The sequence below is a fragment of the Homo sapiens genome, chromosome 15, assembly GCF_000001405.40.
Source record: "Homo sapiens chromosome 15, GRCh38.p14 Primary Assembly".
In the NCBI taxonomy this organism is placed as follows: Eukaryota; Metazoa; Chordata; class Mammalia; order Primates; family Hominidae; genus Homo; species Homo sapiens.
Genome location: NC_000015.10, coordinates 84,960,003 through 84,985,166, shown reverse-complemented (window position 1 = coordinate 84,985,166; position 25,164 = coordinate 84,960,003). Strand labels below are relative to the sequence as shown.

Below are 25,164 nucleotides of genomic sequence, written 5' to 3'. Positions count from 1 at the left end.
ATCAGGTCTTAACATGTGGCCTGCCTGACATACACCTCAAGAAAAGGGCTCCACAATCAACTAGTTTAGGAAATGATGCACACTCTAAAAACCACTTGGAGACTCACAGATTACTTTCAGAAATTAGGTTCTCTGACAAGCCCTACATAAAAGAACTCTGTTGAACTTAGTCTGAGCCAGTATAGGCCGCATATCTCTTATCCCAAATGCTTGAGACCAGAAGTGTTTTGGATTTTTTTTTTTTGGCTTTTGGAATATCTGCATTATATTTACCAGTTCAGCATCCCTAATCTGAAAATCCAAACTCTGAAATGCTCCATTGAGCACTTCCTTTGAGCATCATGTCAGCACTCAAAACAGACTTTGGAACATTTCTCATTTTCTGATTAGGGATATTCAACCTGTATTTCCCAAAAACTTACCAGACCACGGAACTCTTTTCTCATACAATACTAACAGTCCACATATTGTTCCATAGAACACATGCAGGATACACTTTAACGCAAAGTACATACTGCTTAACCTAAAAATGCAATTAGTTATCAATCTCCCACCCACACTGATAAACTGGTATTTACTAAATGCTGTAGGACTATAAAAGCATCCCCCAATGAATTTCTTGTTGAAATTCACTTAAAGATATGCTGACTTACAGTTTTAATAAGAAATTTTGTAATGAATTAAATTGCATCTTGAGATAATACAAAGAAACTAATTTTATGATTTAATTTTGCTAAATTGCTAGCAGTTTGCCTTCTCTAACATGAATTTCCAGAGCATAGTTAATATCTTAAAATTTAAAAAGATTCATTTTCAAAGAAAAAATATTAGACTAGAAAAAATGCTGACATTTACCTCTGCTCTACTATCTGACATGCCTAAATGCAAATAACTGTAAATGAGATATCAACATGTACAGTTCATGAATAACAAGTATGGGGCTATTATTTCTGTGGTTGTGGTGTTATAATTTATAATTTGACTCCTGCTCTGGAAATACTATTATTTTGAAGTCTACATAGGAGGCTTTATGAAATCAAATTCCAATGACTGAAAAAGTTTCATCAATCAGTTAACAATTTTTTAAGAAATCAGTAAACATTTATTTAGTACCTACTATGTGTATGCCACTGGGTTAGGCACTTTAAGGATGAAAGTATTTTCTGAGCCCCCAACACAAGACAATGGTCTGCCAATACAGAAGAATGGTTGAAGTAAGTACTTAAAAACTCAGGGACCTAACGGCACTGCGATAGCACAAGAGCAAGCTGCTGCTGCACTGGGGAGGCTTACAAGACACCTAGGTGAATTTTAGGACACCCAATCCACCACAAAAAAAGCCTGTAAGACACAAAGGCCCCTCACTATAAAAGGGCTACTTTGGTAATCTGAAATTATCACATTAGTCTGCAAAATGTTAGATTTGGACTGAAAACTTGAAAGCTGTTAAAGTTTCCATATGCACCTGTGTAACACTTTTTTAAAGCCAAGTAGGCTTAACACACAGCTTAACACTGATATTAAGAGCACCTTGAGTTAGTAAGCCTAAACCATCAGAGGTTTCTTTAAAGAATCTATAGGAGAAGGAATTCAATTTCTGATAATCAGAACAAAGTTGAATTTTCACTTAGGGTATGGGAATGGTGGGGAAATCAACTGTTATGCAACACTGAAAAAGACTTTCCCCTTTCGTACAGAAAAAGTATCATGACGACTGCTAGAAATGTAAGACAGAAAGTACATCAAACTATATCCCTCAAACTTCGGAGGTTCAGCAGTTCTCAGCAAGCAAGGAAAAATCAAACAAATTTTGCAAATTACTCTTTCAAAAACTGGTCGTGATGAGAGGGATGACAGCCAACAATCTGCAGCCATGCACGAATTTTGTTGTTGTTGTCTTTTACTGGTTTAACAAAACATAAACCAACGCATGAGTTCCAGCTTTAAATTCTGAAATGAGAGAACTGGAAAGCTGCTGCTGTGTGCCTTAATGATCACGTTTTTCTTTTTCCTTTTTAACTTTCCTTTAGAAAACCTCAACAAAGACTAAGCCCAGAAACTTTGACAAAACATAAGCCAAGGCAACATGCGCTGGAGAAGACACGCAATGTAAAAAAACAAAAAACCCCAGTCACAAAATGTCCCAGTAAGTCGGCTTAATAAAAGATTAACTTTGTTCTGCTGAATGCTTCAAAAATCGCGTTTCACAGTATTTTCTAATTACATATGCTTTAAATACAGTATGTATGCTAATAAACGTGGACCTCAAATACATGTGCAATGAAGCAAAGCTGATGTTCCAGATTACATTCTAGCAGTCCCGAAGAAAATGGTAACCTGCAACTGCATGTGCAAAGCTGACAGAGGGAAAAGAGTGGTGAGGCCAGTCGCCCTTCCCTTTCTACCACAGGAAAAGAACAAAGTTCACACTGATTTAACATTGCAGGGGCGCGCCAGAATATCCTGGGGGTTTCCCTCAAACACCCGCTCTTGGAGAGGAAATTGATGCAAGCGCCTCAGTCAACTTCACATCGGGCCCCGCCGCTCCGGGAGTCGGATGTGTCCAAAAAACCGACGCCGCGACACAGGCGGCGTCCTAATCGCAACCCTAGGAAATCAGGGTCGCGGGACCTGGGTCGGTCCTTCTCTGAACGCTGCCCCGGCAAGGCGGGAGACTGGCGTCAATCAGAACCATCCAAAGCGGGACAAGAGGGCACCGAGGCCGGGTGGGGGGGACCCCGCCCGGCCCCTGCGGGAAAGTTGCTTACTGGCCGGGCCCGAGTTTCGCGGCGGCCCCAGAGTGCCCGGCGCCCCTTACCTTCTTGCCGCTGCCGTCGCGAAGCTCCGACTCCAAGAGGCCGGCGCCGCGGGTCCGGGGCAAGGCGGCCGTCTTCTGGCCCTGCGGGAGGCGCGGCCCGCCGGACGACAGCGGCGGTGCCGCGGGGCTAGGCGCGTCCTCGGCCACCAGGCGCTCGGAAATGTGGATGCTCGGGGCACAGCCCATGCTGGCGGCGGCGCCGCGGACACGCTGGCGGGTAGCCGCGATCCGGTCAGCAAACGGCCCACCCGGCGCCTCCGGGCCGCCGCGGGCGCCGTGTCATCGCCGCCTGGGCGGGCGGCGGCGAGCGCGGATCTCGCGTCAGGAAACGCGGCCGCCCCTTTTATCGCGGTGCGGGCGCTGCGGCGGCGGCGGCTGCGGTGGGAAGGGGGCGCTTAGGCGGGTGGCGTGCCGAGGCCGCCCCTCCGAACATGCCCTTCCTGAGGCAGGAGCCGACGGCCGCCTCTCACATCGCCGGGCTCGCCTCGGCCGCGCTTCCGGGGAAATAGGGGGAGGAGATTTGCGCTCTCCTTACCCAGGAGCGGCTGAGTCCACGCCGCGCGAGCCACGCTGCCCTCGCCGAGCTGCGGCACGACCCCCGGGGGAGGCGAGCTCCCGGCCGCGCCCGGCCCCGCTCCCGCCGCCGCCGCCGCCGCCTCCCCGGCTCCAGACTCCGCCTAGATGTGGACACCCACGCCGCTCCGCCCGCTGGGCCGCCGCCTCGCGGAAAAGCCCCCCCAGGCCGAGTGCCGGTGGGGTACAAGGCTAGCCTTAGACGCTCCCGCTGGCCGGGGTTTAGGCGCGGGGTCCGAGGGAAACCCCTCGGAGCGGCCGGGCCACGTCCGCCAGGGTAGGGAGGGGAGCAGCTCGGCTCCAGCGGGGCCTGGGGCCGCACCGTCGAGAAGCGCAGAAACGGCTGCGCGCACCCAGGAGTTGCTGGCGGTACGGCTCCGGCTCCGGCTCCGTGATCCGGGCCGGGTTTTGCCGGCAGCGTGCCGCGCCGAGCCCCCAGCGGTGACCTCCAGCGGGTGCTGGCGTCAATGCAAAGCAGCTGGGGCGCCCGCCACCTCCTCCGGACGCCGCCCGCAACTGAGCATGCGCGGCGACGACAGGCGGGGCGCCCGACTGGGCTACCCAGAGAAGGAAAGAGACTTGCCCAGGGACACACAGCCACCTCCGTCCCGAGGCCACCAGAAGCCCGACCGCCAAATTCGAATTCCGGCTCCGTAACTTAGCGGCTACTTGACCTCGGTGGGGTCACCAAGTGTGAGCCCTGGAGCTGTTACCCAGAAAAGAGGCCGGTGGAAAGACCTCCTTTGGGGGTAGTGAAAGTCAAACTGGGGCGCCGCGCGCCGGGTCCCGGGTGGGTGGGGCCTGGGCGTCCGCGAGAAGCCGCAGCCCACGTGCGCTCCCTCGCAGGCCAAAACCTGGCGCGCCACGCCTCGGATTACACAGGCGCCGGGGCGGCCGCAAAGCTACAGCACCGGGCAGGCTGCAGGCGCCCGTCCTCCTCTCATTTTAACCAAAGTGCTAGTCGGGCGTCCGAGACCCCAAAGGCAGAGCCAGGGGAAGGGGCGTACGCATTGCAGGCCTGGGGCCCATGAGGACCCCGGACACGCACACAGCCACTAGCTTGCTGTGTGAACTGGGCCAGTCACTTAACTTCTTGGTGGCTGGGGCTCCTCCCCCACCAGCTGGAGGGCGGTGTCTCTGGGCGTCCATCACGTATCCTGTAGCGGGCTGCCTCGGACCCCCGCCAGTCTTCCCGCCCTCCCTGGGCTCCCGGTTTGCGGAGACCCTGGCGCGGTGCAGCCGGCTCCTTCCTGTCCTCTCCGACCGTCCACACCTTTCCTAGCGCGGCCCTGGAGCGACCCTGAGAGGCAGCCGCTCCCGCCTTGGCCCGGCTACTGCAAAGACCCGGAGGCGTGCTGCGGGCTGGATTCCCTGCTGTCGCGCTGGGACTGCAGCACAGGTTCAGGTGCCGGGTCCCCGGAGCCTCGATCTCTGGCCCGAGCAGGGTAACCCGAGAGCACGTTACTGGCGAAACTGCCCCGAACCACTGGCACGTGGCTCTATTACCAAGTTTAAGCCCATTAAGCAATATTAATATTTATGCTTCTCTGCCTTATAAAAGTACTACTGGCTTGGTGAAGATGTCTTAAAAAACAAAGGAAAAGATTTTTAAACATCACTCTTTATTCCGCCTAAATCGTATAATTTTTTTCTGCCTTTGCTCTGCAATTTTAAGAGGTCTTTTTTCCAGGTAGAATCTGGAGCTCTTGTAAATAAAGGATACTTCATGGAGAAAATGCTTGGAACCAACAGAGTTCATGGAAGTTTAAAGCGCGACCTCTCCTCCCCGCCCTGCAGAGAAGTACGGCCTTGACGACTCCCGGCGCTGACCTTGCCGCTTCTGGGGCTCCAAGCAGCTCTAGTCCTCTCGGCCCTCCCCTCCTAGGCAGGACCTCGGCGTCCCGCCTCCCTTGTTGGTCCTTGGGCCATGCACTAAATGAAGGAGTTGGGGACTAGGGCTGGGGGATCAGCTGGCCTGAAAAGCCCCGTGTGCACCGCCCCACACCTTGCTGACTGCCCGGACTGCCTTGTGCTGTCCTGAGCTGGTCACTTACCCTCTCTGTTCCCGGAAAGCTGTAACTAATTTCCAGTTCTGCAATTTTGGGACCCTAGACTTAGAGACCTGGGGCTATGAATGATGCAGAAGCAGATAGGAAAAATAGGAGTCATCTGCCTGCTTCTGGAGTCTCAGCCCACTTTTTCCCATACACAGAACCTCAGCCTGGGACACTCCAGGAAGTCACAGGCTTCCTCTCAGCTCCAACCACCTAACATCAATTCCACCCCACCCCTCCTCCCCTGGCTCTAACCTGCACCTTGAGGTCCCTGAACACTTCTGTACCCTGTGACAGTGGACTGAAAATGGGTCACACTGACAGAAGTAACCCAAACCTCACTGGCGTGTGCCACCCACAAAGTCACCCAAGACTCCCAGGCCCCTGCAAAGAATCCTATCCCTACCAGGTGTCTAGAGGGCTCATGAACAATCCCAGTACTGCTGGAAGGTAGGCTGCCTCCACCACACCAGCCATGTTCAGCCTCACTATTCCGTGGCACAAAGTGGAACACGCTTCACCAGCTGCCCCAATCCATTTTGCCCGGGTATAGGGACCCCCAGCCCGAACTGCTTGACTTCCACAAGACTCAGACTTGTAGCTGAATGTCTGCTTCAATTCTTACTCCAGGACTTGAGCATGAGGTCAATGGGGCTGGGAAAGGAGATAAACCAAAGGACCTAGGCCCAGCCTCCCTCCTACCCCTGTGACTGGCACAGATTTGTGGGTTATAGGTCAGTCCATTCCCAGGAGACTCCTTAGCCCTCATGGCCCCCCTCACCTGTTCATTAAAGGCATGCAGATGCCGGGTCCCTCACAGCTTTGCCTGTCTAAAATCCAAACCTATTCTGCTTCCACACCTCTTCTACTAAACCTGAGCCTCTGTACAGCCAGTTCTCCCTCCTGGCTTGATCTCCGTCTCCACCCAGGGGTCAGCCATTCAAAGACTGTGCCACCTGCACCCAGTTCTTTGTCTTCCTTTCCTTGCCTTCCCCCATTGAACCATGCTGGAGGCAGCCACAAGTGAGAGAGCTCCACACCCTGAGGTCTGAATCCCAGCTCTGCCATCTATTAGACCTTGAGCTCCTGACTTCATCTCTCCCAGCCACTGTCCTCCACTGTAAATCTAGGACTACTATCTACCTCAGAGAGTAAATGGGCTCACTGATGTCAAATGCCTAGAACAACAACTAGGCCCCTGTGCCTTAGCTGCCTTCTCCCGGGTCCATTTAACATCACCTTCCTCCAGTCCTGCCCCCAGACTGCTGAAAACTGGTGGAAAAAATGAAATTACCATGGGGATTAACAGCCCTACAAATCTATGGTATCTGACTTCATGTTCTTTCCTCGAACTTTCAAAATTTTGTATAATATGATTTTTAAGTTTCATTATTTTTAAATTACACATTTTATAATTATACACATGAATACATAATGGAAAAATGGTAAAAAAAAAAAAAAAAAATCCGAAGTAAGCAGAAGTATATAAAGTGTACAGAGGCAAAGGAAAGTCTCTCTTCCTTCCCCACTCCCTTCCTTCCGTAGAGGTAACTATTGTTAACAGTTTGGACTGTATGCTTCCAGACCTGTTTCTACATAAAATATATTACACACACACACACACACACACACACACTTGCACACGCACAGCTATTACAATATTACAGCTACAGTGAACATCCTTGAATGTAACTTTTTCTGTAGGATGAACTAAAAGTGGAATTGCTTGATCTAAAGGTATTTTATCCCCTTCACCCCCTCAGCTCCAGAATGGATGAGGGGAAATGAAAGAGAGAGAGGCCACCAGAAGCTGAGAGACTAAAACGGAGAACTCCCTGGATCCCCTCTCTGCTCCTAGAAAAGGGGGGTCCAGCCATCTCCAGATAAAGGCCTCTCGGTCATCTCCAGATTCATGGGCACCCTTATCTTTATTTCTCTTGGTACTTCCAAGCCTTTAGTAAAGTGTTCTTGAATGTTCCAGCCTTTTTTAGATAAGGGGGGGACCAAGTGACCACCCTTAAGGGAAAACTGTAAGTTTAGAGGGAGCAGCACCTCTGGGGCCAGAATAGTAAAGGAGTAAAACCCCGGGAGGACCCTCGTTCTACCTCCAGAGTTCAGGTGTGCACCTGTATCCATCTCCCTCCAGACCTTGGTTTTTGTAGTTCAGCTGGAGCCCTGGATTAACACCTCAGTATGGACTCCCTTTCTCAAAATGACCTTATTAACTGCCACAGTCTCAGACTTATCTTCCAACAAATGGCTCTGTCCCCAATACTCACCCCGCATGCCCTCTCCTCTTGACTCCACCCTGCTTCCCACCAGGCAAGGGAGTCAAATCCTCTCCCAATTACTGGATAAAGTCCAGGATTCTCAACACTGCTATATTTTTAAATGTCAGAAATCCAATTTCACTGAGCTTAGCAAAGGTAGGTACTTAGGGGCTTAGGGGTTCACCTACCCAAAATACAGGAAGGTCAAGATGAACTCAGCAACATGGACCCAGATGCCACTAGCACTCTCACAGTCCCGACAACTTGACCTTCCTGATGAGGTTTTCTGTGATGATGAAACCAAGGCCTTTGGGATTCCCCACCTTCCACCTTCACAGCCGCATGACTGCACTGTTGGTTTCTACGACAGCAAGGAAGTTTCTTGTCCGAAGTTCTTAATAGGTAGTGTTCTGGGGGGTGTCTGTTCGTACCCTAAGGGCTGGCTTCGTGAGTGTGAAACCTCTGCAGTCACAGGGCCTGTGTCTACAAGGGTCTCACTCTTGGTTTAATGCTCTGAGGCCACCATTTTGATTTTTTTTTCTTAAGACAGAGGTCGCGCTCTGTGACCCATGCTGGAGTGCAGTGGTGTGATCTCAGCTCTCTGTAACCTGTGCCTCCCATGTCAAGCGATTCTCCTGCCTCAGCCTCCTGAGTAGCTGGGATAACAGGCATGTGTGCCATCACGCCCAGCTAATTTTTGTATTTTTAGTAGAGACGGGGTATCACCATACTGGTCAGGCTGGTCTTGAACTCCTGACCTCAGGTGATCCACCCGCCTCGGCCTCCCAGAGTGCTAGGATTACAGGCGTGAGCCACCGTGCCCAGCCAAATTTTTTAAAAAATAGACATGAGGTCTCACTATGTTGTCCAGGCTGGTCTCAAACTCCTGGCCTCAAGCAATCCTCCCACCTCAGCCTCCCAAAGTGCAGGGATTATAGGCGTGAGCCATGGCGCCCTGCCTGAAATTATTAATCATTGGTGAACAAAGGGCCCCCACACACTTCATTTTGCAATGGGTCCCACACGTTATTCAGCTAGTCCTGCCCATCCCTGTCCCCCTAAAAAGCACACCATTTAGGTGCATGTAGAGGAAAGAAGCAGTGTGGGAGTGTGTTGGAGTAATATGGTGGCTCTGGAGAAATTCACAGGATCTGCTCAAGCAAGCCATGTCGTTATCTATTATATAACAAGAGTCCTCTCCCCACTGTGCTCTGGGCCAGCTCAGCCCTGCGTCTCACTCAGCGGGTCCCAGCGGGTAGGCCAGGCCTCAGAGACTATCTCCTCAGGAAACAGGCTGCCCAGGGGCCCAGGGACATGCTGAGGTCCCACAGCTGGATGGGCACAGCCAGGACACCCAAGGTCCTCCAGCTTTTGGCCTTTCCCTGGGGGTCTTCATCCCAGTCTATCCAGCCTCCCAACTGCCCAGCCTGTGGCTTTCAGCCAAATTCCAAAAGAGCACTTGGCTAATGGCCCCTGGGATCCCTGCTGGCCATGTCATTTTAGGGGAGGAGCAAGGGAGAAGCCTGGGGCCTCCTGGCCTGGAGGAGGGGAGCAGTGTGTCAGGACAGCCCCGGATGGGACCTGTGACAGCGATGACACCTGCCAGCCTGATGCTACTGGACTCCCTGCCAGGCACTTGGCACGTGTTAGCTCATTTAACCCTCAACATGTCTGTGGTTACTATTACCTTTGCTGCTCCTCCATACCTCTTAGCTCATTTTACAGATAAAGACACAGGTTGGTTTGTTTTGTTTTGTTTTAGAACCAGAGCTGATGTCCTTAATAAAACACAAAACTCATTCTTTTCAAAGACTCTTAAAAATATAAGGATGCTTCTTTAATAAATGAAGAGCATTTATTTCCAGCTGAGAGCCTCCAAGATACTTAACAATGAAGCACGAAAACACTCCTCAGGGCTGGGACTCGGCAGGTGTACTTTTGAATATCCTAAGAGCAAGAAACACGTTACTGGAACATAACTAATGGAACTAGAAATAAAATGAGGGGCAACAACCATCGCTGCTATTATCTAATGTTGTCGAGATGTTCTGAGAAGTGCAATAAGACATGAGTTAGAAACTGGAACGCAGATGTTGGGGCTGGAGATAACATCATTAGTTGCAGGTGACATGACTTTATGTCAAAGATGCCTGGGAATCAACTCAAAAGTCATTAAGACGAAACAGTTCTTTAAAGTGGCCAGATTTGAAGTAAAAAAGTATGTGTCACTGCTACTGTATTCTAGAAATACTCAATTGGGAAATAAAATAACAAAAATCACAGTAAGTGCTGAGTACTATGTTGGCCCTCATATGGAACCTAAGTCACCCAGGCCTCACCTGGGATTACTGGAGTAGTCAGAACCCATATTTTTCTGGTTCTTCCTCTATCTACTTAACACAGGCCTCCAGCCTCCAACAAGGTTTCACCCTGTTATATCTGGGGGTGTCTAAGGGGAGGTAGTGAGATCACCCCATCACTATCCCTACCCTGATGCCCTGTACCATGTTAATGGCTGAGCCCCAGGCACTGACTCCTGGTATGGGAAATGCTGAGGCCCCAGAAGTTCCTCTGGGTTTCAGGCCTCAGTGGGGAAATAGCACACGTCCAGGGAACCGAGTCTTGGTTTTTCCAAGACCTCCCTCACAATCCCCGACTCCCCAACACACCGAGCATTCCACACTGTCTCCTGCATCCTAAAGCTACACCATTTGTGCCCTGTGTCTTATGGAATCCATATCTGGACAAGGAGCCCAAGACTTTCTCTTGAGGACTCAGACTAACACTTGCACCAGGGTAGGACAGAGCAAAACCTGAGCCCTGCTGGCATCCCCATTCTCCTCCCTCACACAAGACATGCTTCTCCCCCTGCCTTCCACAATCCCACCATAGCTTTGGCTAAAGCTGGAGGTTGCACAGAATCATCCCCATCTACACCTCCCCAAACCCCTGCCAGGTTGGCATTAGCATCGTTACTTGATTGGAGAGGAAATGGAGACAGAGAGGTTAAGTAATTTGTCCTTGGTCATGCAGCAGATGGCAAAGTTGGGTTGCCAACCGTGGCCTGCCTGACACCAAAGCCCAGAATGTCTCCACTGTGCAAGAGCTCCCATGAAAATAAGCTTTGGCAATAAGTTAAATATGGGAAACTGAGGAGCCAAACATCACCGATACTTGAGAAGCAGAAAACGAAATACGATCTACCTCAGAGCAACTGAGGGCTGCTTCATTCCCAGGGTAAATGTGAGGCAAAATGCAAAGCAGCACACTGGTTACCAAAAGTATGTGAGGCTTTTTAAATGTCAGCCGCAACGATCGTGAATCACTCTTTTTAAAGTTCTTAATCCAAAGTGACCCTCCTTTTCTCCCTGGCTCCCCTCCTGATTCAAGTCCCCTCTGCTGGCCTGAATCATTCACTCCAAGTTCTAGGACACAGGCCTGCCAGGTCCCATGGGAAAATTGTCATTCTCTTGTCAGGGGAGATGTGTCCTGTGTGAGCGTCCCCAAGCCTGCTTGAAGAGAAGACTGTGGAGGGGAAGATTCTGACCTTAATGGTGGTGCGGCTGGAAAAGTCAAGGCAGTAGGCTGGGCCTAGACACACCCAGGGTCGCAGATGAATCTCTTAAAATGCGTACTCTTTATTGAATGCCTTTTTCATCACTGAGAATACAGTGATGACAAAACAGCCCCTGACTTCACGGAGCTCATAATCTGGTGCAGGAAGCAGACATCATGCAACTACGCGAGCGTATAATTACAAGATGATGAGTGCTGTGATGTACAGGAAGCTCTGAGTGTGTATCGCAGTAGGGACTGACTTAATCTTGGAGGGTGGAGGGTGGGCACCAAGAGCACTTCCCTGAACTGAGTAAGACATGAGTGGATCACTGTCTGCATGCCCAGCACCCACTCATCCTTCTTAGAACTGTATCTGATTTTTCTTCAACTCATGAGTGGGATATTTAGCATGTGCCGCTTCCCTGGCCATGGCAATTGGCTTGGAGATGGACACATGAGCCAATCTAGAGTTAATGGGTGTTGATGTCAATGGTTGAGCCCCGGATAGAGACATACCTGAAGTCAGAACTAACTATGCTTGGACTTTTAATTTCTGCTTTTGCTTAAGTCACTTTGGGTCTGGTTTTTAGTCTCTTGCAACCAAAAATATCCCGCCTGGACTAGGGGGATAAGTCTGAAGTAATGAGATTAAAAAATAGGGGAAAGAACATTCCAGGCAGAGGTAAAAGAAAGTACAAAGGCCTTGAAATGGGAGGAAGGAGCAGGGCATATTCAGGGACTGAAAGAGGGCCAGGATAGCTAAGAACAGAAAACAAGGGGCTAAGTGGAAAAATGAGGTGGAAGAGGTGGACAAGGCATAAAGTCAGACCATGCAGGGCCTTGTCAGCCATGACAAGGACTTTGGTCCTTAGCCTTGGAGTAATACGAGTCCACACTCAAGCAGACAGGCTCTAAGTGTGAAGGAGGTAGCCCCAGGTCAGAGAGGAGGCTCCTGGGAGGAGTCCATTCATCCTCATCATTGGCTGACAAGAAAAATAACCCCTCCCACAGAAAAAGAGAGATCTATTTTTCAAATGTGTGTATACACCTTTGTGTTTGGTAAATTACGTGGTCATTCAAAGGTGTTATTGAATTCATGGGGGCATTTGTTATTTCACATTTTCTCAGTTGGGAGAATAGAAGCATAGCTACCAATGTAGCTCCGTGGAAATTGGAGAATGTCTTGAAAGTCCAAAGGAGTCTTAGTAAAAGTTCTTTGAAAGCCCTGGCTACCCCTAGAAGGGTACAGTGGGACCCTGATGCAAGGGGGCCTAGGAGCTTGTTGCAAAGGCTGTGGCTAGAAGTATTGAGATTATTGTGAAGGTGATGATGATAATGATGAAGATGGTAATGAACACAATTGCAGCTGACATTTGTTTAGCCCCTTCTAAGATGCTGGACACTGCTAAAGTCCTTTATAATAATTTTCTTCTTGAGCCTTTACAACAATACTCTGAAATGGGTATATCATCATTCCTATTTTATAGATGAGTAAACTAGGTCTTACACCAGGGAGGTGACTTGCCCATGGTCACAGGGTGAAGACCCAAACCCAGGCCTCTCTGAGTCTGAAATCTATGCTATTGATCATCATCTCACATGTTTCTGTTCCACATATGATCTGTTGGGGCCTCAATCCATTTCTTTCCATCCCTTTCCTCCAACCAATTGGTTTTTAATTGGGTCTGGCCAGTGGAAGTACTGAAGAGATGAGAAGGCTGGAGGAAGGGAAAAGCCATTCTGGCTCTGGCAGTGCCAGTGGTTCTGGCTGGATTAGGGGCTGGATTATTGTGTAGGGTGGGGGCAGCCCCTCTAGCAGCTCAGCAATGACATGTATGGGTGCCTGGAATAAAGCAGCTTCCTAATCCCTGGGAAACATCCATGTCTTAGTCCATTTGTATTGCTGTAAAAGAATACCTGAAGCTGGCTAATTTATAAAGAAAAGAGGGCTGGGTGTGGTGGCTCATGCCTGTAATCCCAGCACTTTGGGAAGCTGAGGCGGGATGATTTTGAGCCCAGAAGTTCGACACCAGCCTGGGCAACATGATGAAACCCCGTCTCTATAAAAATACAAAAATTAGCCGGGTATGGAGGCACGTGCCTGGCGTCCCAGCTACTTGAGGGGCTGAAGTGGGAGGATCGCTTGAGCCTGGGAGGTGGAGGTTGCAGTGAGCTGAGATCGTGCCAGTGTACTCCAGCCTGGGTGACAGAGTGACACCCTGTCAAAAAGAAAAGAGAAGAACAAGGGAGGGGAGGGGAGGGGTGGGGTATATTTGGTGTACATTCTGCAGGCTGTACAAGAAGCATGGCACCAGCATCTGGTTCTGGTGAGGGCCACAGGCTGCTTCCTCTCATGGTGGAAGGGGAAGGAGAACCGGTGTGTGCAGATCACATGGTGAGAGAGGGAGTAAAAGAGATGGGGATGGACCAGGCTCTTTTTAACCAGCTCTTGTGAGAACACTCTAATAAAGCAAGAGCTCGCTCATTGAGGATGAGGATGGCACCAACACATTCATGAGGGATCTTTCCCTGTGACTAAAACACCTCCTTTTCAGTCCCACCTCCAACACTGGGGATCAAATTTTGACATGAGGTTTGAGGGGGACAAACATTCAGACTATGGCACCCCTTATCATATTTTTGTTCTCTAGCCCTTTCAACAGCTTTGTAACCAATCCTCTTCATTAAAACTTGAAATATCTCTGTGGTTTCCATTTTCCTGGCTGGCCACTGACTGATACAGTCTCATTGACAGGGATGCCTGATAGGGGTTGCTACTGTCATTTGCAGATGGTATCACTGCCAGCTGCTGCCAGAATAGTTCGCTGAGATCAACAAACAGCAGATAAGGCAGTGATGGCATTTGAACCTGCAGCCGGCCAGGAGAGCACTTGCCCACTGTGCCCTTGAACTTCTCATTGGCATTCCACTGGGGCTGGAGGCATAACAGACGTCAAAGGCTTGAGTCAGCTCTGAAAATTACATCTCAGACTGGCCATGGACTTAAGGTGATTTTATATTTTTTTGTTTTGTTTTGTTTTTTGTTTTTGTTTTTTTTTGTAGATATGAGGTCTCACCATGTTGCTCAGGCTGGTCTAAAACTCCTGGGTTCAAGCAATCCTCCTGCCTCTGCCTCCCAAAGTGTTGGGATTATAGATGTGAGCCATTGTGCCCGACCCTTAAGATGATTTTAGAAGGGAAAGTTTTCACAGAGAATCAGATTCTTAGTTCCATGCTCGAGTTGCTCTAGGCCATAAGCAAAAGGTGAGAACCAAATTTACCCCCGACTGCCACCAAGTCCTGTGGCACTTGACTTGAGGAAATCTCGCTCAAGCTCAGGTCCCCATCTGTGAGGGGAGGAGCTGAGCCGTAAAAGACACAGTTCGTTTTCTGTCCAACCAACATCTATTCCCCCCTCACCTACTTCCCACTTTTCTTCCTGTCCTGTATAGACCCTTCCCATGCACAAAGGGTCAAGGTTGATTGGTTTCAACCAACTGTGGTCACTCCTTTCCACATGTGAGAGATTGGTTAGTCACGGGCATGTGACGCAACCATGGCCAATGAGATGTATGGGGTGGTCTTGGAGGATGGTGTGGAGAGGGGCTTCTGAGAAAGTCTCCTTCCTTCTAAAAAAGAGACTCGAGAAAGATACCTAACCATTTTCTGCCTCTGGAATGACTGGGTGAGAAAGCAATACCTGGAGCTGTTTCAGCCATCCATGAGCAAAGCTGCTAGCACCTGGGGATGGCAGAATGGAAAGATGGAAAGAACTTGCGTCCCTGTCCCAAGTGTAATCACAGAGCTGCTGAAATTCACCAACCCTAGAACCATCCAACATTTGAACTCTTTGCTACTTGGTGTAATACATCTTTGTTGTTTAAGCTATTTCTAGTTAGGTCCTCTGTCACTTGCAGCCAGAAGCATTGTACTTTACATATTAGGCCATTAGTCAAATCCCTCTGTCCTTATTACATGTAACATTTTGTGATTCAACTTCTTCTGTTTTCAAAGAAAGAAATCAAGGCTCGACGAGAGAGAAATAATTGAAGGCTATGCCATACATGTGTGGCATAGCCAGGACCCCTGGGATCCTGCATTCTCTCCCACTACACCCCTTTGCCCAAGCCCTTTACATAGCGATGGAGATTATTGCTAAATAGTTATTGTTTCTAAGAAATGCTTCAGTGTCTCACCCGCCTACAGCTTCTCACAGATACAAAAGATTACAGTATTGGATGAAGATGACCCTGGGTCATTTCCTGCAGCCTGCCCCTCTGCATGTTGTGCTTGGGACCCTGCAGTCTGCCCCCTACATGTGTGCTCTTGGGATCCAGCAAATTACAGAAGTCCGAGTCGGGGGGCAGGGTGCTCCCTTTCCCAGCACATAATTACCAGACCTGGCAGCAATGGTGATGCCAGCATCTGTGGACAACCCAGCCACTGTGCTCCCAGCTGCAGCTGATCCAGAAGATCAGAGAGGGCTGAGTTCACACAGGCTTCTCTTCCTTCTTCAGCGTGAAGGCTTGCCAGGGCCCACATGAAGGCGATGGAGGACTGAGTGAATCCTGATTTTCTGGCCTATCTTTGGTAGGAGACCTGACTTGTATAAATTCGGTGCTCTCCTGGCCCGTGGTGGCAACCTCAGCAATTCTCCTGGTTGCTAGGAATCTCTGCTGGAACTAGTCCAATACCAAAGTTAAGCAGGGAATCAGAAAGGAGAAGGATTCTGTCCTTCCGCAGAGACTCAGCCACAGAGCCAGCTGTAGAAGCTGGCAGAACCAGAGTCATATCATTACTATACAAGCATTTTTCTTTTTCTTTTTAACTAACCATGACCATTTGTGCATATAAAAGCCACATTTTCTCTCCCTTCACAGTGCCTGTTCTTGGATCCTAGAAGACCAGGTCAGGTTTTTCAGGTTCAAAGTGAGTGTCCCAGAGGGTGCCCCAGCTCAGGATCCTCCTTTCCCTCTCCCCTTACCCGGGCTGATGGGCTGGGCTTACTCTCTGGGATCAGTCAGGGGCTTTGGTTGTAAGTCACACAATCTGACTCTGGCTACCTTAACCAAGAAAAAGAACTTTGGGGATGAGATATCAGAATGTTCTCAGTTACAAGTAACATAACAGCAGGACTTCTTACATCACTTAACAAGAAGGCAACAGATCGTTCTCAAGATTGGTTCCACAGCTCAATTAGGTCATTGTGGTAGCAGCCTCCAAGATGGCACCAATGCTGCCTACCTCCTGGTAGCCTTGCCTCCCATGTTAGAAAGTGTTGGCTCATGTAACCAATAGGAGACTGCAGAAGTGACAGCATGTGACTTTCAAGGCTAGGCCATAAAAGACATCGTGGCTTCCACTTTGTTCTCTCCCTTGGGTCACCCATTGTGGAGGAAGCCAGCTGCCATGTCGTGAAGACACTTAAGCAGCTCTAAGGAGAGGCCCATGTAGAGAGGAGCTGAGGCCTCTGTCAACAGCCTTGTGAGTGAGCCATCTTGGAAGTAGATCTTCCAGCCCCAGTCAGGCCTTCAGATGACTGCAGCGTGAGAGACCCTGAGCCAGAACAACCAGCTAAGCCACACCAAACCAGGCATCAGACTGAATTTTTGCATCCCACCCTCACAACACCCATCAAGCAAGCTTTATTATTACCCCATGCTGCAGAAGAGGAAACTGAGGCTCAACCAGGAAGTGGCAGAGATGGGAAACAACAAGTCCTCTCTTCAAGGGTTAGATGGGCCACATGGGTTCTAGCCAGATGAGTTTGGGAGAGATAGCCCAGCCCTGCTTACCTGTACAGGCTTCAGAAATCCCCTAAACTATGCCCCTTGTCCTGGGTGTCTTGGTCCCCAGTGATTCCTCAAGTACAGGGCTCTGCTTGTATCTTCCATACCAACCAACAGTGGACCAGATAGGAAATCCTGACTCCAAGATTCACTAAATCTTAGCCCTTCTTTTGCCCGAGCCTCTGAAGTGCGTCTAGTGCGTCTGTCCCTAACCCTGCCTGCATATTCATTCCCTAGCCTGGCAGCCTACCCTCAGACTCACCCACAAACCCAGACAATTCCTGGGTTGCACAGGTGCACCTGAAGCCAGTATTTCCAGGAACAGTGACACTTTCTTAGAAACAACAGTCACCTGGGACATAATGCAACACCCCAGGGCCTCGTAGGTTCCCTTTCCAAGGTGATGGCCCCCAGAGAGGTCCCTGTAGCAGCAAGTCCCATACGGGGCTGCTACAAGGGACAACGTCTGCTGCCAAGTCTCTCCTAGGGATTTAGGCTGATGCAACTTTTTCTAGGATTTAACTTCCTGTTTCTTTTTGGTTTCTAAGTTCACTATTATGTCTGTGTCTGAATGAATTTGTGCAGTTCATATGTAAATTGGCAAGAAGTGGCAAAATAGCTGGGAGGGGAGGGTCAGAGCATGACAGGGGGTCAGGCCATCACTATTCCTTTAAGAACCAGTGGCTTTCAAATTGTTTTTTAGGAAGGAAACCCTTTTGCTAAAAGAAGCGAGAGCAGGAACCACTCAGGCTGAAGCCTTTGGTGAGGTGGGGGGTAGAAAGTTTACCATAATGTCAGCCACTCATCCCCCAAGGCAGCCCCTGAAGCACCTGTGTGGAAAACAATTTAACTTTTCAGGACTAACACCTGCTCCCCAATGTGCACAAGTAGCAACGTAACAAAGCGGATCTCCAACACCCCAGCATCCTCCAAGGCTTTAGACCTGTTTCTCTATCTGTTAGGATTTGCTGCAGCTGCAGGTCGTAGATAATCCAAAATAACAGAAGCTAAAATGACATAGAAGGGCTGGGTATGGTGGCTCATGCCTATAATCCCAGCTACTCAGGAGGCTGAGGCAGGAGGATCACTTGAAACTAGCAGTTCAAGACCAACCTGGGCAACATAGCAAGACCCCCCATCTCTTAAAAAAAATAAAAATAAAAAACTTAGCTGGGCATGGTGGCATGTTCCTGTAGTCCCAGGTGCTCAAGAGGTTGAGACAGGTGGTGATATGGTTTGGTTGTGTCCCCACCCAAATCTCATCTTGAATTCCCACACGTTGTGGGAGGGACCTGGTGGGAGGTAATTGAATCATGGGGCAGGTCTTTCCTGTGCTGTTCTCGTGATAGTGAATAAGACTCACACGATCTGATGGTTTTAGAAAGGAGTTTCCCTGCACAAGCTCTCTTCTCTTGTCTGCTGCCATGTGAGATGTGCCTTTCACCTTCTGCCATGATTGTGAGGCCTCCCCAGCCATATGAACTGTAAATCCTTTAAACCTCTTTCTTTTGTAAATTGCCCAGTCTCAGGTAAGTCTTTAGCAGCAGCATGAAAACAGACTAATTCAGGTGGATTGCTTGAAACCAGGAGCTCAAGACCAGCCTAGGCAACATAGCAAGACCCCCAGGAGGACTGCTTGAGCCCAGAAATTCGAGGCTGCAGTGACCTGTGATCATGCCATTGCACACACCAGCCTGAGTGACAGAGCAAGACTTTGACTCTAAAGAAAAAATAAATAAGCTGGGCACAGTGGCTCACACCTGTAATCCCAGCACTTTGGGAGGCTGAGGCGGGCAGATCACTTGAGGTCAGGATTTCAAGACCAGCCTGGCCAACATGGTGAAACTAAAAATACAAAAATTAGCTGGGCATGGTGGTGGGCATCTGTAATCCCAGCTACTCAGGAGGCTGAGGCAGAAGAATCGCTTCAACCTGGGAGGTGGAGGTTGCAGGGAGCCAAGACTGCACCACTGCACTTCAGTGTGGGTGACAGAGCAAGACTCTGTCTCAAAAATAAATAAATGAATAAAATTACATTTAAAAAATACCAACAACATAGAAGTTTGTTTTTCTCTCAGATCACTGACACCTAAAGGGATTAATCAGAGATCTAGGCTCAGGACCCCTCTCTATAGAAACAATTTGAGTAACCTAAAATCAATGTGCCTGCACCATTCCAGCAGCCTAATATTTCCCCCCCCTCCCCGCCTCCCTCCAGCTTAACAGCCTAATCTTGTGAGATCCTCAGTATGTGGCTTCCACTTGGGGCTCCACAATGGCCTCTATCACACTTACATTCTAGCCAGAAGGAAAGAGGAAGGGATGGAGAATGTGACCAACTATCCTGGCTTGCCCAGGACCGAGAGATTTCCTAGGATACAGGACTCTTAGTGCTAAAACCAGTAAAGTCTCAGGCAAACCAGGACAAGTTGGTCATCCTAGAAGAAGTGCATGGCCCTCTCTTAGGTATACTTTGGAAGTTATATAGCATGTTGCTTTCATCTCATTGGCCAAAACTTAGTTATGTGCCCCCATCCACCGCAAAGGAGGCCAGGACATGTTGATTTTATTCTGGGTGGCCATATATCCAACTATACACTTATAAGAAAAGAAGGGAAAATGGCTATTGGAATCAACAAGCAGTCTCCAGCCTAAATCCAGAGAGGAGACTTCCATGTATTGCCACCAAAAAACTGCCTTGCAGGTCTGTATTAGTCCATTCTCATACTGCTATGAAGAAATACTTGAGACTGGGTAATTTATAAAGGGAAGAGGTTTAATTGACTCACAGTTCTGCAGGGCTGGGGAGGCCTCAGGAAACTTACAATCATGGCAGAAGGGGAAGCAAACACATTTTTCTGTACATGGTGGGAGGAAGGAGAAGTGCCAAGCAAAGGGGGAAAGGCCCTTTATAAAACCATCAGATTTTGTGAGAACTCACTCAACTCACTATCATGAGAACAGCATGGGGGTAACCACCCCCAATACTCAATTACCTTCCACCAGGTCCCTCCCATGACACGTGGGGTTATGGGAACTATAATTCAAGATGAGATTTGGGTGTGGGGACACAGCCAAACCATATCAAGGTCCAAGCACTGGCATTCCATACTGAGGATCTTCAAAGGCAAGGAAGTCTCAAGCCTTACAGGTAAGACAAAGAGGGAAGCATCAATCATTCCCTCCTGCTCCTATGTTGGCAGTCTGCTTCCAGCTGCAGACGCACTTGCTTTTCCAGCCTCCCTTGCAGCTACAGCATGGGCCTCTGGCTTAATCCCAGGATAGAAAGAAATATCTGCTGGGGCTTCTGTGGAAAGATTCTTCCCATCTAATGAATGCATGGGAGGAAAAGCCTTTTCTACTAGTCATGGCCCTGTCTGGGTGTAATGTCCAGAACTTCAGCAGCCATCTTGTGACCACAAGGGGTCAATCCAAGGATAAAATCAAAATAACAGAGCAGAGAGGTGGCAAGAGCCAGGGTCCCTGGTACCATCATTGATGCCTGGATTAACCCTGGAGCCACTTACCCCTGGAGTTGCTACTATGTGAGATATTAAAAATCTCACATCATGTAAACCATTTTCTATTGAATGCACTGTTACTTGCAATTGATATTGGGTAATGTCAATCATTCTAACCAATAAAGAGCATGTCTCCTACTGAGTGAGAGGAAGGAATAGGTGATCTCTGTGCAGCTGCTCCTGCTGGGAAGATCTGTTGGGGCAATGAGTGCCCTGAAAGGAGTGGGCAATCTTCCTTCAATGTCTTCCTTGCCTCCTTCCCTGTTTCTCTTCTTTTCTTCTTCCTTCCCTCCTTCCTTCCATCCTTCCTTCCCATGCCCTTATCGTTTCCTTCCCCTTCCCTTCCTCCCTCACTAGACATCAAGCCCTAAAGATACTGTTTTAAACAAGATGGACACATTTCCTTCCCCCAGAAGCATACTGACATGTATGAGATAGATGATTAAACAAGACTTCACAAGGTATGACAGGGGCCAAGACAGGAGAATCAGGGTGCTGTGGGAGGTCCAGAACAGACTCCTAACTCAACTTATAAGTTCAGATGGCTTCCTAGAGAAGACAGCCACATTGGGTCCTGAGGGATGAGTAGGAATTAGGTACATGAAAGAAAGGAGTGGTCAAGCGTCTGGAGCAGCCTGTGGAAGAGCCGAGAGGAAGGAGAGTGCAACTCCTTCAAGGGACTGAAAGCAGCTCAGTGAGGCTGGAGCTAGGACAGAGGAGGCGCTGTGCTAGGAAATGGCTAGAGGTGAAATAGGGGGTCATCAGGGGCTGGATCTAAGCATCCTCATGAGCCATGATGAGGAGCTGGCACTTTGCCTGAAAGCACCAACTGGACCATCTGCCTCTTAACCACCCACTTGCTCTGCATGGCTCAGCTGCTGTCCAGGTCTCATCCTGGGTGAACCCCATCATGGACTGGCCTGGTGTACAATGGCTGATAGACAGGCTCGGGGGGGCAGCTGGACCCCAGGTAGGTACCCTCCCTGGCCATGCCAGAGCTGAAGAGAAGCCAGCCCTGTCCCATACTGTGTTGTGGTGTGATGGGCCACTTTGTGAAAGGGTGTCCCACCCTCCGCCACGTGTCCACCACTCGCTATGACTGTAGTCCCTTCCCTGCTTCTGAAACTGGACTCCTGCTTCCCCACCCCTCTATCTAGTGAGGGAATATTCTAACAGCCCATTCTAGCAGGACCTCAGGATGGAAGATTGGAAGCTCCCTGTCCAGGGAAACACAAGTGGATGCCCACTCCTGGGGAGAGGGTGTATAAAGATCCTCAGCTATGGGTCACATGGGGCATCCAGTGGTGGTAGGCACTGCTTGTTGGTGAGCATGAGAGTAAGGGGTGTGGCTAGGGATAGCCCGAGGGATTGCAAGGCTGGAGTGGTTTGGCCTGTTTCTTGATTTTTTCTAATTCAATTTAAATCTGACTCTAAGCCACTATCCCACTGAGCTGGCAAGAAATTCAATCTCAGGCATATCGTTGAGTCTCCCTCCCCCATTCTCAAGATTTTGCCAAGGTCCCAGGGTCTTAGGCAGTGCTGAGGCGTCAGGCTGGCTCCACTGGTCACACTAGCAAATGCAGAACATCCATCATCCCAGCCTTGTGGCACCTCAGGCTTGGTGGCTCTGCTGATTTGGAGTCACCCTTGGAATGTGGGAATTGTGAGGGAGGGGCGAAAGCTCTGTGCTCAGATCCACTCTCCCTGAGTGTACCAGGCAGCCATGTCCTCTAAGGCCTTGTCACCTTTGGACACTGCCTAGAGTCAAGGTTTGAGACCTTTCCTCCCTACCCCCAGCCCTAGTCACACTCTGCCCCTTTCCCTTCTGGGGTAAAAATCTTTTCCTCTCCCTTCTTCCTGCTCTCAAAGGCCCACCCTTGGCCTGGTGCAGTGACTCACATCTGTAATCCCAGCACTAGGAGTTTGAGACCAGCCTGGGCAACATGGTGAAACCCCATCTCTACTAAAAATACAAAACATTGGCCAGGCATGGTGGCATGCACCTATAGTTCCAGCTACTCCAGAGGCTGAGGTGGAAGGATCACCCGAGCCCAGGAGATGGAGGTTGCAGTGAGCCCTGATCATGTCACCATACTCCAGCCTGGGCGACGGAGCAAGACTCTATCTCAAAAAACAAAAAATCATAGGCCCACCCTTTCTTTCTTCTCTTTCCAGGACACCTTACAGAGTCTCTATAAAGAGTCAACGAAGGCTGGGTGCAGTGGCTCACACCTATAATCCTAATACTTTGAGAGGCTGAGAAGGGAAGATCACCTGAGGCCAGGAGTTCGAGACAAGCCTGGGCAACATAGCGAGATCTCTGTCTCTACAAAAAAGAAAAATTAGCCGGGCATGGTGGTGAGCACTTGTAGTCTCAGCTACTCTGGAGGCTTAGGCGGGAGGATCACCTGAGCTCAGGAGTTGGAGGCTTCAGTGAGCTATGATCACACCATTGCACTCCAGCCTGGGTGGCAGAGTGAGACCCTGTCTCTAAAAATAATTAAGAAATTTAAAAAAAAATTTAGGTCAAGATTATTGCAAAAGACAGAAAGACCCACCAACTTCCGATAGCTTTTATGCTCTGACCACCAGAAATACCCAAGGCAAGGAAACACCAAGGGACTCACTCTCTGCTTGAAAGAGCCAGGGGAGGAGCAAATGTAAACCAAATGAGCACAGGGTAACATTTCAATGAATCATCTTGCCCCAGTGGTTTGATGAAGGGCAGTATCTCTGTCGTAGGTGCTGCCGTTGTGAATCCCAAACTCTTCCTGGCTGTCTCACCTAGTTAGTGACTTTACCTGGCATGAGCTTCTCTCACCCAACATCTTGGAGTACTTGGACCACCTTAAACTGCTGCTGTATTAATTAACTGTCATTAAATGATGCTGCCGTAACAGTCTCGGAATCTTAGTGTCTTACGACCATCAAGATTTATCTCTCAGCCAGGCAAAGTGGCTCATACCTGTAATCCCAGCACTTTGGGAAGCCAAGGCAGTAGGATCATTTAAGGCCAGGAGTTCAAGACCAGCCTGGTCAACATAGCAAGACCTCGTCTCTACAAAAAATAAAATAAAATAAAATATTAGCCAGGTGTGACGGCACATACATGTAGTCCCAGCTGCTTGGGAGACTGAGGTAGGAAGATCCCTTGAGCCCAGGAGGTTGAGGCTACAGTGAGCCATGATTATATCACTGTACCCCAGCTTGGGCAACAGAGTGATACCCTGTCTCTAAAAAAAAAAAAAAAAATTCTCTCTCACTCACAGAATGAGTCACCTGAGGTTGCTGCGGCTCTATTCCATGCATTTCTTTATCCTGAAATCCAGGCTGAAAAGAGAAGCCCCTTTCTGAGTCACGCTGTTCTCAAAAGAGGCAGGCTGCTTGGATGGTTCAGAGCACGGCCTTGCATTCAGATAAGGCTAGGCAAAAATGCCTGCATTATCAGAGTTAATGCTTACAACACCCCTACGAGTTCGGAGGTGATATTCTCATTTTACAGATGAGAAACCTGAAATTATCTTGCCCGAGGACACACAGGGATGTGAAGAAGTGGAGCCGGAACTCAACCATGTATGTGTCTGGCTCTAAAGCCCAGGCTTTCCCTCACCCTGCTATTCTGTCCCTGCAAAGCCAATTCAGGATCAGCCAGTTAAACATGCTGAATTGAGAGCACCTGTAGTTAGCACTGTTGTCGCTCAAAACTCCACTAAAAAAAGGGGAAAGAAAGAAAAGATTTATAAAGCAATAAGGACTAAGAGAGTGAGAGCAGCAACAGGAGAGATAAGGAATGTTAACACAGTTTTGGAAGCAGAGCTGATAAAGCTGAACTGTGAAGCTCAGGAACTGGAGGCACCTATTACTGCAAAAGCGAGGGCGAAGGTGGGGCTGAAAACAGGAAGCGGAGTTGAAAGCCTAGAGCCCCAGGCCCACCTGCCCATCACCCACATCCAGGTGGCTCTTTCTTCTCTGACAGGAAACTGGAGTTTTATCCTATGGAGATATTGAATCAGAAAAGCAGGCACAGGCCAGGCACAGTGGATCATGCCTGTAATCCCAGCACTTTGGCCGGCCGAGTCAGGTGGATCGCTTGAGTACAGGGGTTCGAGGCCAGCCTGGGCAACATAGTGCAACCCTGTTTCTACTAAAAATGCAAAAATTAGCCGGGCATGGTGGCACATGCCCATAATCCAAGTTACTTGGGAGGCTGAGGCAGGAGAATCTCTTGAATTCAGCAGGGGCGGAGGTTGCAGTGAGCTGAGATTGCGCCACTGTACTCCAGCCTGGGCGACAGAGCAAGACCTTGTCTCAAAAAAAAAAAAAAAAAAAAAAAAAAAAAAAAAAAAAAAAAAAAAGCAGGCAGGCACAGGGGAGTGGAAAATGTTCTGTATTTTAAAGAAAGATTACGGGAGAGTTTATAAACTGAATGTTCAGCACCACCTCCTCCCTCTTTGTGCCACTGTATTCCTGGAATTTTCTCTACCCTATGTGTGCCCTCTCCAGGCAGGAGACTGGAAGATTCTTCTCTGGAGAAATATCATGACCCCAGAAAATAGATTTATAGGTACTGAAATCCAAGAG

The 25,164-nt window shown here is 49.1% G+C and overlaps 2 protein-coding genes across 9 annotated transcripts in view, besides 9 other annotated features; both read right to left on the bottom strand.

Annotated features, from left to right (window-relative positions):
- The window catches only part of PDE8A (phosphodiesterase 8A), a 158,676-nt gene extending 153,976 nt beyond the window's left edge, over positions 1-4,700 (bottom strand). For 4 of the 7 annotated variants that reach the window (XR_007064457.1, NM_002605.3, XM_017022310.3 and 1 more), the window contains exon 1: positions 2,819-3,311. Coding sequence is in view for 4 of the 7 variants with exons in the window: in NM_002605.3 (NP_002596.1) it covers positions 2,819-3,004 (186 nt within the window). In the remaining 3 variants the exon portion in view is untranslated. Of the gene's footprint in view, positions 1-2,818; positions 3,312-4,481 lie in introns of those variants that run through there. The other 3 variants (NM_001243137.2, XM_047432657.1, NM_173454.1) reach the window with 2 other exon arrangements.
- Positions 3,130-3,662: an enhancer, noted in NCBI's record as "H3K27ac hESC enhancer chr15:85524736-85525268 (GRCh37/hg19 assembly coordinates)". NCBI's record gives its function as "activates a minimal SCP1, AML or CMV promoter by ChIP-STARR-seq in naive H9 embryonic stem cells {active_cell/tissue: H9 hESC(naive)}" and the evidence as "EXISTENCE:reporter gene assay evidence [ECO:0000049][PMID:30033119]".
- Positions 3,130-3,879: a biological region, named in NCBI's record as "H3K27ac hESC enhancer GRCh37_chr15:85524736-85525268".
- Positions 3,390-3,879: a silencer, noted in NCBI's record as "silent region_6776". NCBI's record gives its function as "represses an Ori minimal core promoter by ATAC-STARR-seq in GM12878 lymphoblastoid cells {active_cell/tissue: GM12878}" and the evidence as "EXISTENCE:reporter gene assay evidence [ECO:0000049][PMID:35858748]".
- Positions 4,200-4,249: a silencer, noted in NCBI's record as "silent region_6775". NCBI's record gives its function as "represses an Ori minimal core promoter by ATAC-STARR-seq in GM12878 lymphoblastoid cells {active_cell/tissue: GM12878}" and the evidence as "EXISTENCE:reporter gene assay evidence [ECO:0000049][PMID:35858748]".
- Positions 4,810-4,859: a silencer, noted in NCBI's record as "silent region_6774". NCBI's record gives its function as "represses an Ori minimal core promoter by ATAC-STARR-seq in GM12878 lymphoblastoid cells {active_cell/tissue: GM12878}" and the evidence as "EXISTENCE:reporter gene assay evidence [ECO:0000049][PMID:35858748]".
- Positions 4,810-5,311: a biological region, named in NCBI's record as "H3K4me1 hESC enhancer GRCh37_chr15:85523087-85523586".
- Positions 4,812-5,311: an enhancer, noted in NCBI's record as "H3K4me1 hESC enhancer chr15:85523087-85523586 (GRCh37/hg19 assembly coordinates)". NCBI's record gives its function as "activates a minimal SCP1, AML or CMV promoter by ChIP-STARR-seq in naive H9 embryonic stem cells {active_cell/tissue: H9 hESC(naive)}" and the evidence as "EXISTENCE:reporter gene assay evidence [ECO:0000049][PMID:30033119]".
- Positions 5,312-5,813: an enhancer, noted in NCBI's record as "H3K4me1 hESC enhancer chr15:85522585-85523086 (GRCh37/hg19 assembly coordinates)". NCBI's record gives its function as "activates a minimal SCP1, AML or CMV promoter by ChIP-STARR-seq in naive H9 embryonic stem cells {active_cell/tissue: H9 hESC(naive)}" and the evidence as "EXISTENCE:reporter gene assay evidence [ECO:0000049][PMID:30033119]".
- Positions 7,985-8,154: an enhancer, noted in NCBI's record as "experimental_41947 CRE fragment used in MPRA reporter constructs". NCBI's record gives its function as "activates a minimal promoter by MPRAs in K562 erythroleukemia cells, with activity observed for both the introgressed and non-introgressed 15:85520329 variant alleles {active_cell/tissue: K562}" and the evidence as "EXISTENCE:reporter gene assay evidence [ECO:0000049][PMID:34662402]".
- The window catches only part of SLC28A1 (solute carrier family 28 member 1), a 90,988-nt gene continuing 75,341 nt past the window's right edge, over positions 9,518-25,164 (bottom strand). The window contains exons 16-17 of one of the 2 annotated variants that reach the window (NM_001321721.2): positions 23,549-23,641; positions 9,518-9,662 (exon numbers count right to left, since the gene is read on the bottom strand). In NM_001321721.2, coding sequence (NP_001308650.1) covers positions 23,591-23,641 — 51 coding nt within the window. In that variant the 3' untranslated portion in view covers positions 9,518-9,662; positions 23,549-23,590. The remainder of the gene's footprint in view (positions 9,663-23,548; positions 23,642-25,164) is intronic. The other variant, NM_001321722.2, reaches the window with a different exon arrangement.